Genomic DNA, 16973 nt, shown 5'->3' with positions numbered 1-16973 from the left:
GTCTTACATCCAGGTCATGCTGATGCAAGAGGTGGGTTCCCATGGTCTTGGGCACTCTGCCCCTGTGGCTTTGCACCTCTCTCCCAATTGCCTTAATAGGCTGGCATTGAGTGTCTGTGGCTTTTCCAGGTACACGGTGCAAGCTGGGGTCTGGAGGACGTGGTCCTCTTCTCACAGCTCCTCTAGGCAGTGCCTCAGTAGGGACTCTGTGTAGGGCTTCCCTTCTGCACTGCCCTAGCAGAGTTTCTCCATGAGAGCTCTGCCCCTGCAGCAAACTTCTGCCTGGGCATCCAGGCGTTTCCATACATATTCTGAAACCTAAGCAGAGGTTCCCAAGCCCCAATTCTTAACTTCTGTACACTTGCAGGCTCAACACCATGTAGAAGCTGCCAGGGATTGGGGCTTGCACCCTCTGAAGCCATGGCCCAAGCTCTATGTTGGCCCCTTTCAGCCATGAGTGGAGCGGCTGGGATGCAAGGCACCAAGTCCCTAGGCTGCACACAGCATGGGGACCCTGGGCCTAGCTCAAGAAACCACTTTTTCCTCCTAGGTCTCTGGGCCTGTGATGGGCTGGATTAACTGGTGAAAACCTTCTCCATACAAGCTTAGTCTAACAAGATGGAGAGGTAGGTGTCTTATATAATGTACAGAAACCAACACAGAGAATTAAGTAAAATGAAGAAATAGGGGAATATATTCCAAACAATAGAACAAGATAAATTTTCAAAAAACTGACCCAAATGTAGTGGAGTTTTGTGATTTACCTGACAGGAAATTCAAAATAATGATCATAAAGATGCTCACAGAGATCAAGACAGCAATGCAAGAACAAACAAAGATCTTCAACAAAGAGAAAGTATAAAAAAGTGCTAAACAGAAATTAAAGATCTGAAGAATGCTATAACTGAACTGAGAAATTCAATGGAGGTGTTTGATGGTAGTAGTAGACTAGGTTAAGCAGAAGAAAGGATTGGTGAACTTGAAAACAGATTACTGGACATCATCCAATCTGAGGAGCAAAAAGAAAAACATGAAAAAGAGTGAGGACAGCTTAAAGAGACTTATCAAACGCCATCAAGAAGAACAACTTATGCAGCAGTGTGCCAGCAGTAGAAGAAAGAGAAAAAGGAATGGAAAACATATTCAAAGAAATAATGGCAGAAAACTTCCTAAGTCTAAAAAATAAATTAGAAAGATAGCTTTAAAAACCCTGTAAGGATACTAAATAAGATAAACACAAAGAGATCCACACCATGACATATCACAGTCAAACTGTCAACAGTTAAAGCCAAAGAGAAAGTGTTGAAAGCAGCAAGAATAAAAGCAAATTGTGACATACAGAGGAACCTCTATAAATCTATCAGTGGGCTTCTCAGCACAAACCTTGCAAACCAGAATGGAATGGAATAACATATTCAAAATCCTAAAAGAAAAAGACTGCCAGTTAAGAATACTATATTCAGGCAATCTTGTCTTTCAAAAACAAAAGAGTGATAAAAACTTTCTCAGACAAAATCTGAGAGAATTTATTACACCAGATCTGCATTACAAAAAAATGCTAAAGGAAGTTCTTTAAGCTGAAGGACAAGGATGCTAATTAGTATCATAAAGTCATATGAAAGCATAAAACTCACTGGTAAAAGTAAGTATGTTGTCAAATGCAAAACAGTTTAATACTATAATGGTGGTGGGTAAATTGATTATATCTGTACTATAAAGGTCAAAAAACAACATTATTTTTAAAAGGCTACTATAATTACCTATGGAATATATTATAAAAAGATGTATAGTGTGAAATCAAAAACATAAAACGTGGGAAGAAGGGAAGTAGAAGTGACGAGTTCGTGTATACAATAACAATCAAGTGTTCTAAGCAAAAATAAATCTGTTATAAGAGGTTTTATATAAGCCTCAGGGAAACCACAAAGCAAAAGCTTATAATAGATACACAAAAGATAAAAAGAAAAGAACCAAAGGATACCACTACAGAAAGCCATCAAACCACAAGGAAGAAAGCAAGAGAGAGAGAAGTGAACAAAAGATTTACAAACAACTAGGAAACAATTAACAAATTGAGAAGAATAAGTTCATACCTATCAATAATAACCTTGAATGTAAATGGATTAAATCCTCCAGTTAAAAGTGTAGAGTAATTGAATGGAGGTTGGGCATGGTGGCTAACGCCTGTAATCCCAGTGGCTTGGGAGGCCAAGGGAGGCATATCACTTGAGGCCAGGAGTTTGAGACAAGCCTGGCCAACATGGTGAAACCCCATCTCTACTAAAAATACAAAAATTAGCTGGGCGTGGTGGTGGGTTCCTGTAGTCTCAGCTACTTGGGAGGCTGAGGCAGCAGAATTGCTTGAACCCTGGAGGTGGAGGTTGCAGTGAGCTGAGATGGTGCCACTGCATTCCAGCCTGGGTGACAGAGTGTGGCTCTGTCTCAAAAAAAAAAAAAAAGTGTAGAGTAATTGAATGGATTAAACAACAACAACAACAACAAAAAACACCCAAATATATACTGCCTACAAGAGGCTCTACCTTACCTGTAAGGACACACATAGATTGAAAATGAAGAGAGAAATCCATCAAAAATGGCGACTGTCGAACAGGAAACCACCCCTACTTCTAATCCTGTGACTACAGAAAAGGAGAAAACAGAATCTATTCAGGAGGTTGCTAACCCAGAACACTATATTAAACATCCTTTACAGAACAGATGGGCCCTCTGGTTTTTTAAAAATGGTAAAAGCAAAAACTTGGCAAGCAAACCTGTGGCTGATCTCTAAGTTTGATACTGTTTGAAGACTTTTGGGCTCTGTACAACCATATCCAGTTGCCTAGTAATTTAATGCCTGGCTGTGACTACTGACTTTTTAAGGCTGGTATTGAGCCTATGTGGGAAGATGAGAAAAACAAACTGGGAGGACGATGGCTAATTACATTGAACAAATAGCAGAGATGAAGTGACCTCGATTGCTTTTGGCTAGAGACACTGCTGTGCCTTATTGCAGAATCTTTTGATGACTACAGCAATGATGTATGTGGTGCTGTTATTAATGTTAGAGCTAAAGGTGATAAGATAGCAATATGGACTACTGAATGTGAAAACAGAGAAGCTGTTACACATATGGGGAGGGTATACAAGAAAAGGTTAGGACTTCCTCGAAAGATAGTGATTGGTTATCAGTCCCACGCAGACATAGCTACTAAGAATGGCTCCACCACTGAAAATAGGTTTGTTGTTTAAGTAGACACCTTCTGAGTATTCTCATAGGAGACTGCATCAAGCAGTCGAGATTTGGGAGCTGAACCAAAGCCTCTTCCAAAAGCAGAGTGGACTGCATTTAAATTTGATTTCCATCTAAATGTTGCTAAGATATAAGAGAAGTCTCATTCGCCTTTGTCTTGTACTTTGGTGTTCTTTTTTTTGGCTAGCGTGTCCACTATCCCAAACAAAGAATTACAGTACTCATCCCCAGAATCCATGAATGTGTTCCTGTCCCACTCTGTAATAGTTCAGTAGAATTACCGTTAATTACATATACATTTTACCTATCCACAATATTCAGAAAACAACTTGGCATTTTTATACTTTACACACACAAAAAATACGGTTAGTGTTCTATTGTATGCAGGCACATATTTTGCTGGTTTGAAAGATTATGATGCATATAGTTTCTAGCAATTTTCTTTGTTTCTTTTTACAGCATTGTCTTTGCTATACTCTTGCTGATGGCTACTAGATTATAATTTATTTGTTTTTCTACTTGATAACATTAGTGATTCTGATTTCAGTTTTTCATTTGTTTTGCTTTTGTTCTTTTCCTCATGTAACATTGGTGAAGGATCCAGGAATATGACACATAGGTGGAATAAACATTAGCTTTGTGCAAAAAATAAAAGAAAGTGCAGAGATAGAAAAATATATTCTATGCAAATAAAACCCCTCCAAAAAAGCAAGAGTAGCTATACTTACATAAAATGAATTTTAAGTCAAAAATTGTAAAAAGAGATAAAGATGGTCATTATATAATGGTAAAGGGATCAATTCAGCAAGGTGATATAACAATTGTAAATATCTATGCATCCAACACTGAACACCTAAATATTTAGAGCAAATATTAATAGATCTAAAGGAAGAGATAGACTGGCAATACAATAATAGTAGGGAGTTTCACCACCTCACTTACAGCAAACAACATATCATTCAGACAGAAAATAAAAATATAACATTAGAGTGAAACTACACTCCAGACCAAATGGCCCTGACATTTACAGATTATTTCATCCAACAGCTGCAGAATATGCATTTTCTCATCAGCACATGGAACATTGTTATGCCACAAAATAAGGCTTAGAAAATTTAAAAAAAATGCAAATAATAACAATTATATTTTCTGATCACAATAGAGCAAAACTAAACATCAATAACAAAAGGAATTTTGGAAACTATACAAATACATGGAAATTAAACAACATGCTTGGAAATGACCAATGGGTCCATCAAAAAATTAATAAAGAAATTAAAAAAATTTTTGAAACAAATGAAAATGGAAACAACATACAAAAACCTATGGGATACAGCAAAAGTAGTACTAAGAGGGAAGTTTATAGCAATAAACAAATACATAAAAATAGAAATATTTCAAATAAACAACCTAATGATTTCCATTTCCTTGAGAATGGAAAAGCAAAAACAAACCAAATGAAAAATTATTAGAAGAAAAGGAACATAAAGATCAGAGCAGAAGTAAATGAAATTGAGATAAAAATACAAAAGATCAGTGAACTGAACAGTTGTTTTTTGAAAAGATAAGCAAAATCAACAAACCTTTAGTTAGAAAGTGAGAATAATAGAGAAGATTCATATGAATAAAATCAGAGATGAAAAAAGAGACATTACAACTGATGCCACAGAAATATTAAGGATAATTAGAGACTATTACAAACAACTATATGGCAACAAGTTGGAAAACCTAGAAGAAACGAATCACTTTCTGGACACATACAACCTACCAAGTTAGAATCATGAAGAAATAAAAAAATTGAACAGATCAATAACAAGTAACAAGATTCAATCGGTAACAAAACATCTCTTAACAAAGAGAAGTCCAGGACTAAACGGCTTCACTGCTAAATTCTACCAAACTTTTAGAAAACCAATTCCAGGGCCGGGCGCGGTGGCTCACGCCTGTAATCCCAGCACTTTGGGAGGCCAAGGCGGGTGGATCATGAGGTCAGGAGATCGAGACCATCCTGGCTAACAAGGTGAAACCCCGTCTCTACTAAAAATACAAAAAATTAGCCGGGCGCGGTGGCGGGCGCCTGTAGTCCCAGCTACTCGGGAGGCTGAGGCAGGAGAATGGCGTGAACCCGGGAAGCGGAGCTTGCAGTGAGCCGAGATTGCGCCACTGCAGTCCGCAGTCCGGCCTGGGCGACAGAGTGAGACTCCATCTCAAAAAAAAAAAAAAAAAAAAAAAAAGAAAACTAATTCCAATTCTTCTCAAGTTATTCCAAAACATTGAAAGAGAGGGAATTCTTCAAAACTTATTCTGGGAGGCCAATGTTAAAAACTAGGCAAGGACACAACAACCACAAAAAAACAAACAACAACAACAAAAAACCTATAGGCCAATGTCTCTGGTGAACACAGATGCAAAAATACTTAGCAGAATACTAGCAAACCAAATCCAACAGCACTTGAAAAAGATTACCCATGATGATCAAGGGGGTTTTACCCCAAGGATGCAAGGCTGGTTTAACCTACGCAAATCAATAGATGTGATACATCACTTCAACAGAATGAAGGACAAAAGCTATACGATAATCTCAACAGATGCAAAAAAAGAATTTGATAAAATTTATTATTGTGTCACAATAAAAAGTCTCAAATTAGTTATGGAAGGAACATATCTCAAAACAATGCATACCATATATAATAAATCCACAGATAACATCATACTGAATGGGAAAAAAAGCCTTTTCTCTAAGATCTGGAACAAGACAAGAATGCCCACTTTTACCACTTTTATTCAACATGGTGCTAGAAATCCTAGCCAGAGCAGTTAGGCATGAGCAAGAAATAAAGGACATCCAAATTGGAAAGGAGGAAGTCAAATTGTCTTGTTTGCAAATGCCATAATTTAATATTTAGAAAAGCCTAAAATTCACCAAAAACTCTTACAACCAATAAACAAATTCAGTAAAGTTTCAAGATACAAAATCAGGATGCAAAAATCAACAGCATTTCGATACAGCAATGGCAAACAATCTGAAAAAGAAATCAGGAAAGCAATTCCATTTACAATAGCTACCAAACAAACAAAATTTCTAGGAATAAATTTAACTGAAGAGATGAAAGATCTCTACAATAAAAACTATAAAACACTTATTAAAAATTAAAGATGACATACAAAAAATGGAAAGATATTTCATGTTTATGGGTCAGAACAATTAATATTGTTAAAATGCCTTTACTGTACAGATTCAGTGCAACCCCTATCAAAATTCCAATGACATTCTTTACAGAAAACAATTCTAAAATTTGTAAGGAACCACAAAAGACCCTGAATAGCCAAAGCTATTCTGAGCAAAAAGAACAAAGCTGGAGATAGCACACTACCTGACTTCAAAATATGTTATGAAATTATAGTAACCAAAATTGCATAGTACTAGAATAAAAACAGACACATACACCAGTGGAACAGAATAGAGGATCAGAAATAAATCTATGCATTGACAGCCAACTGATTTTTGACAAAGGTGCCAAAATCACTCACTGTGGGAAGGATGGTCTCTTCAATAAATAATGCTGGGAAAACTGGATATCGATATGCTACTGTAGCACAAAACTAGATCCCTGTCTTTCACCATATGCAAAATTAGACTAGAATTGATTAAAGACTTACATGTAAGGCCTGAAACTATGGAACTATTAGAAGAGAACATTGGGGAAATGCTTCAGAACATAGGTCTGGGCAAATATTTTTTGAGTAAGACCATAAAGCCCACAAAAGCAAAAATAGACAAATAAGATTACATCAAGCTAAAAAGCTTCTGCTCAGCAAAGGAAACAACAGGGTGAAGAGCCAATATACGGAATAGGAGAAAATATTTGCAAACTATCCATCTGACAAAGGATTAATATTTAAACTATGTAAGAAACTTAACAACCAACAGCAAACAATCCAAATAATCCTATTAAAAATTTGCATGTAATCTGAATAGACATTTATCAAAAGGAGACATACAAGTGGCCAACAGGTACAAGAAAAAATGCTTGACATCACTGACCATCAGAGAAATGCATATCAAAACCACAATAATCCATTATCTCATTCCAGTTAAAATGGCTATTATCAAAAAGACAGAAAATAACAAATGCTGGTGAGGATGAAAAGAAAGGGAAACTCTTATACACTGATTGATGGAATGTAAATTAGTACAGCCATTACAAAAACAGTGAGGAAATTCCTCAAAAAAAACTAAAAATAGAAGTGCCATATAATTCAGTAATCCCACTACTGGGTATATATATCCAAATCATAGGAAATCAGTATATTGAAGAGATAGAGGAGATAGCTACACTCCTAAGTTTATTGCAGTACTATATCCCAGCTAAGATATGGAATCAATGTAAGTGTCTATCAACAAATAAATTGATAAAGAAAAGGTGGTATACATATATATATATATGCAATGGAATATGATTTAGCCATAAAAAAGAATGAAATTCTGTCATCTGCAGTTGTGGCAACCTAGATGAACCTGGAGGATATTATGTTAAGTGAAAAAAGCCAGACAGAGAAAGGAAAATACCACATTTGCTCACTTATATGTGGGAGCTAAAAAAAAATTGATCTTATAGATGTAGAGACTGGAATAATAGTTACTAGAGGCTGGGAAGGGAGGAGGAATAAGGAGAAGTTTGTTAAGAGGTACAAAATTACAGTTAGATGGGAGAAATAAGTTCTAGTGTTATATATATAGCATAGTGGGGTGACCATAGTTAACAACAATTTGTTGTGTATTTCAAAATAGCTAGAAGAGAGAAATTTGAACGTTCTCAACACAAAGAAATGGTAAATGTTTGAAGTAATGGATATCTTTATTATTCTGATTTGATCACTAAACGTTGTATACATATATTGAATTATTACATGTACTCCATAAATGTGTACAATTATTATCTATCAATTAAAAATAAATTTTTAAAACCCCCAAACCATAGTCATGATTATCTATTATGCCAATTAAGTATTGCTTCCTAGTAAAACCACTCCACAGTGTAATGGCTCACAAAAACATTAAATTGTTATCTCTCATGTATCTGTGGGTTGACTGTGCTCAGCTGGACGGTTCTTGCTTGGGGTCTTTCATGTAGTTACAGTCAGAGATCAACTAGAGTCCTCTGACGTATTGACTGAGCTGTACGTACAAGATGATTCATTCAAATGTCTAGTAGTGAGGGTGACTGTTGGGCAGAGCACCCATGTGTCACCTCTTCACATGCCTTGAGCTTCCTCAGTTTATAGCAGCCTCAGGGAAGTCAGGCTTTTTGTTTGTGGTGATATATAATAGGAAAACTCCCAACTGTTTTCTCCTGTTATACTATCAACACAGAATATTTCTGGTCACCAAAATGTGGGAGTTTTCCTAAACCAAGCGATTATCCAGTGGACACCAACAGAGTGTCCTAGGACTCAACTCAATTTTGAAACTATCTACCTGGAGATAACATTAGGTCTCACAAGACTGCCCCCTACTTCAGATGCCAATCATAAGTAGTAGGTTCACAGGTTACCCACAACTTCTGTCTGCCATGATTGCAAACTGGAGTTTTCCACAAACCCCCTTCTTGGGTTTGAACATTTGCTAGAGTGACTCACAGAATTCAGGAAAGTGGTTTACTTACATTTACTGATTTGTTATAAAGAATACACCAAAAGATACAGATGAACAGGCAGATGAAAGAAATGCACAAGGCAAGGTATTAGAGAGGGATGAGGAACTTCCATGCACTCTCTGAGTGCACCTTCCTCCCAGGACCTCCATATGTTCAGCCTCCTGGAAGCTCTCTGAGTGCTAAAGTTCTGGGATTTTTATGGAAGCTACATCATGTAGGCATAAGTGACTGTTAACTCAATCTTCAGCCCCTCTCCCCATCCTAGATAATGAGGTGTGGGGCTGAAAGTTCAAGCTTCTAATCATGGGTTAGTACCCATTAACCATGGGTTAGCACACATTCAGAAGCCCACCAAGAGGCACCACACAAAAAAAATGCTCCTAGCACCCACAAAATTCCAAGAGATTAGAAGCTCTGTGTCAGGAACTGGGGTCAAAGAACAAATATTAGAACAAGTGCTTCCCTTAGCACCCCAATTACTCAGGAAAGTACAAGGGTTTAGAAGATTGTGCCAGAGTGACTGGGGTCAGAGACCAAATATGTATGTCTTATTATATCACAATGTCACAGGGCTCCAAGGGAGCAAGGCAGAAGCTACCAATCCTCTTAAAGCCTAGCCCTGAAGCTGGCCTAACTTTCCCTCTACTCTACTCTGTTGGTCAAATAAGTGACTAAGGTCAGCCCAGATGCAAGGGGAGGGGAAATAGACTCCACTTCTCAATGGAATGAGTAGCAAAAACTTTGTATTTAACTTTAATTTTCTGCACATCCTCTCAAAATATACCGCTATGTAGGACAGCAGCATGATTTCTGGGCCCCCATGAATCAACAGAAAGACTGTTAGAAGAACATTGTATGTGTGGAGTTGAAAAGAGAGTAAAGTCAGGTGTGGTAGCATGTGCCTGTAATCCCAGCTACGCAGGAGTCTGAGGTGGGAGAATCACTTGAGGCCAGGAGTTCAGGGCTGCAGCATGCTATGATTGTACCTGTGAGTAGCTACTGCACTCCAGCCTGGAAAATATAGCGAGACCCTGTCTGTAAGGAGTAAAAATTATAATCTTTGTTCTTAGGAGGCCTAACACTTAATTAACCTGGAAGGAAGGTAAATGCTATTTAGAATGAGATATCTTACTCTGCTTCCACATTCTAGAGCAGGAGCATTAGTTAAGGCACCAGATGTCTCAAAGACCACCCGATTTTTTTTTTAAGGCTTATTACATTACAAAAGTTGGTAGAAGTTTTGAGATGAAAAAGAAGATCTTCTTATGTCCAATTAGGCGAAAATTAGCCAGAATGGCTAAATTGCTTTGCATTAAGATATTAATGGTAATTGTGGATTTTGGGTAGCAGTAGGCAGGTACTATAACTCAGAAAAAAAGGAAGAAATGAAGAAAATAACTCAGAAAAGAATTATTAGCATAATGGAAGCAGACAAGGGTTTTGAAGAACTGAGAAGTAATCCTAAAATTTCCTTGGAATGACATAATTACTTATTTGTGGGTAAACAACTTTTAACTCCCCTCAATACAGAATTAAATACACAGTGTTTATAAAATCCAAACCCATAGTATTGACATTTTTGCATAAAAAATCTGTGCTGGTTATTAATTTAAGCATTTATAGTTTGTTTAAGAAAATTTGGCTTCTTAGAGTAAATGTCAGATTTATGATTCAACTTTTAAATGTGGAATTAAGTAATTGGCTTAGATTTGAGATATTTAAGTTAAATTTATTTATCATATTTGTATGATTTATTTAAACATTTTGGAAAGGTTTATTGAATCAAAAAGCTATAATTAAAGGAAAATTGGATATATTGAATTAGTAAATACAATTAAGAATATTTTAAGGTATTTAATCAATTCTGTAGATAGGACAAAATATTAATTTAAGGCCCTTAAAATGTTTGCTAAAATATATTAAGCTTATAAGTTTTATGTGGTAAATTTAAAATGTTAAGGAAGTTTTGATTTTGTAAGCATAGTGAATTGAGGATTAATTTTTAAACCAAAGTAAACCACTGAATAGTAGTAGCTCTGCACAAAAACTACTCTCAAGCGCATTAAAAGAACTCAAGTTAATGATATTCATTCTTAGAGTAGAAAATTCTGATATATGGAATATCCACTTATCAATAGGCTGGTTTTCAGGTATTTTGAATTGTGATATCTGAGTAGGAGTCAAATTGGTTGGCCTTTTACACATCATTTGACTGTTCTCTCCTGTTCTTTTGATTCTTTGATAATTCCCTGGATGATGACATCTTTCCCAAGTAATGAGTGGCCCTGCTGAATACGTCAATTTTTGTAAATTAGGCTTTCCAATACCCACGGGCAAAACATTATACTCTTGTTTGCTCCCTTCTCAGAAGTAGCTGAACAGACTGAGTTTAAAGCTTATCTGAAAGAGGAACAAAGACTGGAAAGTTTTAGGTTAAAGGAATGTGTTCAAAAACTTGGGAACTAGTGAAGATGAGGGATTATAATAAAAGTCTGCATGTAACCTTAACTACAGTGTTCACTAAGAAAATCATTATAGCAACATAGGTTGGTGTGTTTATAGCTAGTTTTTTTTTTTTTAAAACAAAAGATTAAAAAAGAAAGGAGAAGGGGAAGTGGATGAGACATTCCTGTGATTGTAAAGCCTAAAACAGTAGACTTCAAAGCTTCTGAAGAAACCATTCTTGTAATCCGCTGCTTAATTCTCCCTAAGTACCAACTGGCAAGGTAGATCGGAATGGCTTAAATATTTACTAGGATTCCCAGTAGGAAACTTTAAGCAGATGAAATGACCATTGACATAAATGGGAGTAAAGCTTTCCTTTTCCCCACTATTTTTGGTTAAAAAAAAAATTCTTGTTTTGAAGAGTTACCAAAAATTCTTATGAATACTGATCAAATATTTGCAGGCCCCACTTTAGATAAAACGATCAGTGACATAAGTGAGAGTAAAGCTTTTATTTTCCCCACTATATTTAGTAAACAAAATCATTGTTTTGAAAAGTTAACAAAAATTCTTAAGAATACTGATCAAATATTTGCAGGCCCCACTGTGTGCAGGATTCTGCCTGAAGTTTCAGGGACAGAGTGAGATTAATGGTATTACAGTTAGAAGCAGCTGGTATTCAGTTGGCCTGTTCCTTCCTCAGCTCTTTGCAGCTACAGCCTTGGTCTAACCTATTTGTTTAGCTTTTCCTGACAAGGACAGGGTGGATCTTCGGAGCTTGCTGTTGTTGACTTGGTATGAGGCATGAGCCAAGCTCCGTAGAAGTCTTTGTCTCTGTTGCGTGGACTGAGCTATACAATCAGCATGGATTTTTTCTTCCCATTGGAACCTTTCACGGGACTGAGCCCCAGCCTGCTAATCTGCGGGCTATTGCTCTGCTCAGCTCTTTCCAGCTTCTTCTCCATGAGTCCTGTCTCTCTTACTTTTGCCTCAGATAGTGGATAGGAAGGGGTGGAAGAGAGAGAAGAGGGCATGCATGCTGGGACTATAAGGCTGTAGGCAGCCCAACTTCAGACTCACCCACTACCTGACACTTTTTTGTTTCAGCCTACACCCATCCAGCACTTGTAAATACCACAGTTTGCCAGGGCCCCAGGTGGCCCTATCTAACCCTATCTATCCCTGCACTATCCTATCCTTAGCTGTCTTTCTCTTTCATGTGCCACCCAGGCGTGGTTCCTTTTCTCATTAGTTAACATTCCTGGGAGTTTTGCCTGATTTAGATAGTATCATGCTAGGCTTGGGAAATTATTTGTGACCAAAAGACATTTAACTGAAAATATTTATTTTTATTTGCTGTTGAGTATTTTCAAATATTGAAAAATAATTTTTAAAAATAAAAAATAATTTTACTTACTTTTAAATAGCATTTTGTAATTTTATACAGTTCCATTACATACTCCTAATTTTTAGATCATATAAATGATGGTTACCTGTTTCTTTGAAATTCAAATTTTCGTAGAGATAAAACACAGTGAGGAGGGTTTGCAGCAACTGAATTTACCCAATAGGATTTCACTTATATTTATAAAGATATTAAAAATTATATAGCTATGTAATCCCTGGTGTTTTATAAGCCAGTGTGTGACCCAGTATATAATACTTGAGGGAAGTGAGCAACTTTTAGAACTTACATCAATTCGATAAAAATGCATTATTCTAATAAGTATGTTACAGAAAGTAAGCTATAAAAAGCCAGGATAAATATGAAAAAATAATCAAACATGCTAGTAATCAAAGAAATATAAATCATAAAAATGAGATATTTTAAATCTGTCAGATAGGCAAAGATATGAAATAATGCAAGGATGTCAATTATAAACTGCCTATATATATGCTTGTACAACATTTCTGAAGAGTGATTTGGCAACAGATATTAGGAACCTTAAAATATGGATATCCTGGCCAGGCACGGTGGCTCACGCCTGTAATCCCGGCACTCTGGGAGGCCGAGGAGGGCGAATCACCTGAGGTCGGGTATTGGAGACCAGCCTGGCCAACATGGTGAAAACCCGTCTCTACTAAAAATAATACAAAAAATTAGCAGGGCGTGGTGGTGCGTGCTTGTAATCCCAGTTACTCAGGAGGCTGAGACACGAGAATCCTTGAACCCAGGAGGCGGAGTTTGCAGTGAGCCGAGATTGCGCCATTGCACTCCAGCCTGGGCAACAGAGTGAGACTCCGGTGGCTCACGCTTGTAATCCCAGCACTTTGGGAGGCCGAGGTGGGCAGATCACGAGTTCAAGAGATCGAAACCATCCTGGCCAACATAGTGAAACCCTGTCTCTACTAAAAATACCAAAATTTGCAGGGCATGGTGGCATGCACCTGTAGTCCAGCTACTCTGGAGGCTGAGGCAGGAAAATCGCTTGAACCCGGGAGGCGGAGCTTGCAGTGAGAGGAGATGGCGCCACTGCACTCCAGCCTGGCGACAGAGCGAGACTCCGTCTCAAAAAAAAAAAAAAAAAAAAAGCGTATCCTTGATGCAAAAATTCTATTTCTAGGAATTTATGCTAAGAAATTTTTAAGTATGCATATAAAGGATGTTCACTGTAACATTCTGTATAACGTGAAAAAAATGAGCAACATAAATGGCCCAAAATAGGAGCTTAATTAAATAAATAATACAGTCATTATAAAGGATATTGCAGGAGAACAGCTAATGACATAGGTTGATTTTATGATATATTTTGAATAAAAAAGTCCCAAAACATTATGTACCATGTTATTCCATTTTAGTTATATGTGCATGACATATTCATGAATTAAACACCAGAAGTATACAGGCCAACATATTGATAATGACTGTCACTGAGTGGTTTGATTATAGGATGTTTAATCTTTCTTTTCACTTATTTTTATACTCTAAATCTTCCCATCGCCTTTGTAAATAATAAAGTTTCAAAATCAATAAAAATAGAGAAAAAAGGAATTATACTAATGATTACCTGTGTGATTTAAGGTAGAAGTTCTGAAAATTTTTGGTCTCAGGACCCTTTTACACCAGTAAAAATTATTAAGGATTCCAAAGAGGTTTTATTTATGTAGGTTCCACATATTTATATTTACTGTATTAGAAATTTAAACTAAGAAATTTATAAAATGTTTGTTTACTAATTCATTAAAAATAATAATAAACTAATTGCATGTAAAATTTTTTATTTTATTTCATTTTATATTTTTTGAGAAAGTGTCTCGCTCTGTCGCCCAGTCTGGAGTGCAGTGCCACAATCTCAGCTCACTGCAACCTCCACCTTCTGGGTTCAAGCGGTTTTCCTGCCTCAGCTTCCCTAGCAGTGCGTGTAACATATTTTTGTAGAAAAGTAACTATACTTTTCTAAAACAAAAACATTTAGTCAGAAGGGTTACATTGTTCTACATTTTTGCAAATCTCTTTAATGCCTGACTTCACAGAAAGAAGCTAGATTCTCATATCTGCCCCTGTATTCAATCTCCTGTGGCATTATATACCATGCAGCCTCTGGAAAACTTCACTGTGCCTTCATGCCAGAATGAGAATAAAAAGGCAAGTCATATTTTTTATCATTATGAAAATATTATTATTTTGAAAATAATATCTATACAAAAATTGTTTTGACCTCGTGGACCCCCTGAGAAGGTTTCAGAACCTTTGGGGATCATCAGATTGCGGCTTTAAGAATGGCCTGTTTAAGGTATTGCAGCTAGGTGGTGTGAAGAAATTAATCATAACAAAAAGAGTACACTATCAAATATTCATTGTGTGCCAAGAACTATGCTGAGAGTTTTAAGTATGTGATTTTGTTTAATCCTCTCCGCAATCGTAAGAGCTAATTACCATTATTACCCCCATTTTGTAGATGAGGAAGCTGAAGCAGAAAGAAGCCAAGCAACTTAATGACACTCTTCAGGGTGTTTGTCCCCACTGCTGGTTTTCTAGACCACTCCCTGCCTACAGTTCCTCTCTGTTCTCATCTCACGCCATCCTGCAAAAAGATGGCCATGTGCCGGACAGCTCTGTATGCCGCCCCACTGCTGTGCTTTACAGGATCTGTCTGTGCATGCAGGTAGGCTTATTTATCAGAAAGAACCCAATCTCACATGCCATAGAGTATGAGAAGGCAACATTTGGAGGATGTTGGAAAACATACTTTTAGAGTTCAGTGCATTGTCACCTTTTGGATCCTCAGATCAACCTCAGATGGGTGCACAAGAATCTCTCTTCTCTTGGCCTCCCTGCTGTCTGCTTTCCTTTTATCGTCCACCCCTCCCATCGCTTCCCAGTATCCTGGTTGCAGGGATCCTGCCCCTGCTCTTGTGTCAGTCTAAGCCAGTGAGAACTGTTCACGCTAGAGAATTTATTCATGGTGGAGAACAGAAGTGAGCTATTAAGTTTTTCAGAATGGAGCACCCACCAGAAAAGCAAACCTCTTGCTTGCTAATTTTAAACCATTTTCCTAAAAGCACGAGCCTAATGTGTTTCAAAGTAAAATTTACTTTAAAATTAACAAAGTTCAGAAGATTATTTTAATATTTGAAATAATTCTTGCCTGCTATAGTTTATCTGTCATCTGTATTTCCAAGAAACTTTACTTTTAAACTCTTTTAAAAATATGCCGTTATTGCTCCTTTTTATGACTGAGAGTATATGGAAAGATTGGCGATACATCTGCAAAACCTTTCCTGTGCCTGTAATAAAACATATGGTTTAGACCTCTGTTCTCTCCCTCCTCCACCTCTAGTTTTAGTCACCTAGAAATAGCTTCTCTATTTGTCCAAATTACCAAGTATTTACCTTCTCTGTTCTCCTCTAGAGCCTGATTTAGTTACAATATATTTATATCAGTTTTTTTTTTCTGAGGATATTAACCTTAGACTTTAGGAAGTATGCTTCTAATCTCCCCTGCTTATACACACATGCTTTAGGAGGGCAAGAAAAGTGTTTTATTCAGATTTATAACACTTGTGCCTAGAGGGGCCTGGCATGTAGTAATATACTCAATAAAAACATGTTGAGTTGACTCTAATAGAAATAATTCTTAAAATTCCTTTCTTCTTTTCTTCCTTCCTTCTTTCCTTCCTTTCATCATGCAATAAACATTTATTGAATTTCTCTTATGAGCCAGACGCCATGTTAAGTAAGTCCCAAGTTTGTAGATATTATCAACTCTGACCTCAAGAAGCCTAGAACGGGCAAAGCCGTACAGTTGGAAAGGTAGGTAGTGTTCCCACCTTTTGGGTTTTCAAGACAATTTGGGGAGGTTTTATTAAGGTTGTATCCTGAGCACACATTTCTCTTGTTGCCAAAAAAAAAAAAAAAAAAGCCACAAAATGAGAGAAACAGTATTTCAAACTGAAACGTCAGTAAGTATGCTTACTTATTTTTATGATCAAGAAAGTGATAATAGCAGACACAAATCTTGAGGATTCCTCAATATTAAAACAAACAACAACAAAAAATCAACCCACCAAACAAAATGACTATATAGGATAAAATTATGGGAGAAATAATCTGTAGAAAATATGGCCCAAAACATGCACAAAAGAGTAGAGCCATACGTTGGAGATATTGCGGGTTTAGT

At 36.8% G+C, this 16973-nt stretch overlaps 1 long non-coding RNA gene and 1 pseudogene across 1 annotated transcript in view, besides 1 other annotated feature; both read left to right on the top strand.

Annotated features, from left to right (window-relative positions):
• Nucleotides 1–16696, top strand: part of LINC01994 (long intergenic non-protein coding RNA 1994) — a 39393-nt gene extending 22697 nt beyond the window's left edge. Inside the window, exons 3-4 of the long non-coding RNA NR_040105.1 lie at nucleotides 14827–14938; nucleotides 15252–16696. This is a non-coding gene — a long non-coding RNA (long intergenic non-protein coding RNA 1994). The remainder of the gene's footprint in view (nucleotides 1–14826; nucleotides 14939–15251) is intronic.
• Nucleotides 2611–3446, top strand: EIF4EP3 (eukaryotic translation initiation factor 4E pseudogene 3; annotated as a pseudogene).
• Nucleotides 9619–9819: a silencer, noted in NCBI's record as "peak4954 fragment used in MPRA reporter construct". NCBI's record gives its function as "represses an SCP1 promoter by STARR-seq MPRAs in K562 erythroleukemia cells {active_cell/tissue: K562}" and the evidence as "EXISTENCE:reporter gene assay evidence [ECO:0000049][PMID:32103011]".
• Nucleotides 16697–16973: the final 277 nt, after the last annotated feature.

This window comes from Homo sapiens, chromosome 3, assembly GCF_000001405.40.
Source record: "Homo sapiens chromosome 3, GRCh38.p14 Primary Assembly".
In the NCBI taxonomy this organism is placed as follows: Eukaryota; Metazoa; Chordata; class Mammalia; order Primates; family Hominidae; genus Homo; species Homo sapiens.
This window is presented reverse-complemented; position numbering and strand designations above follow the sequence as displayed.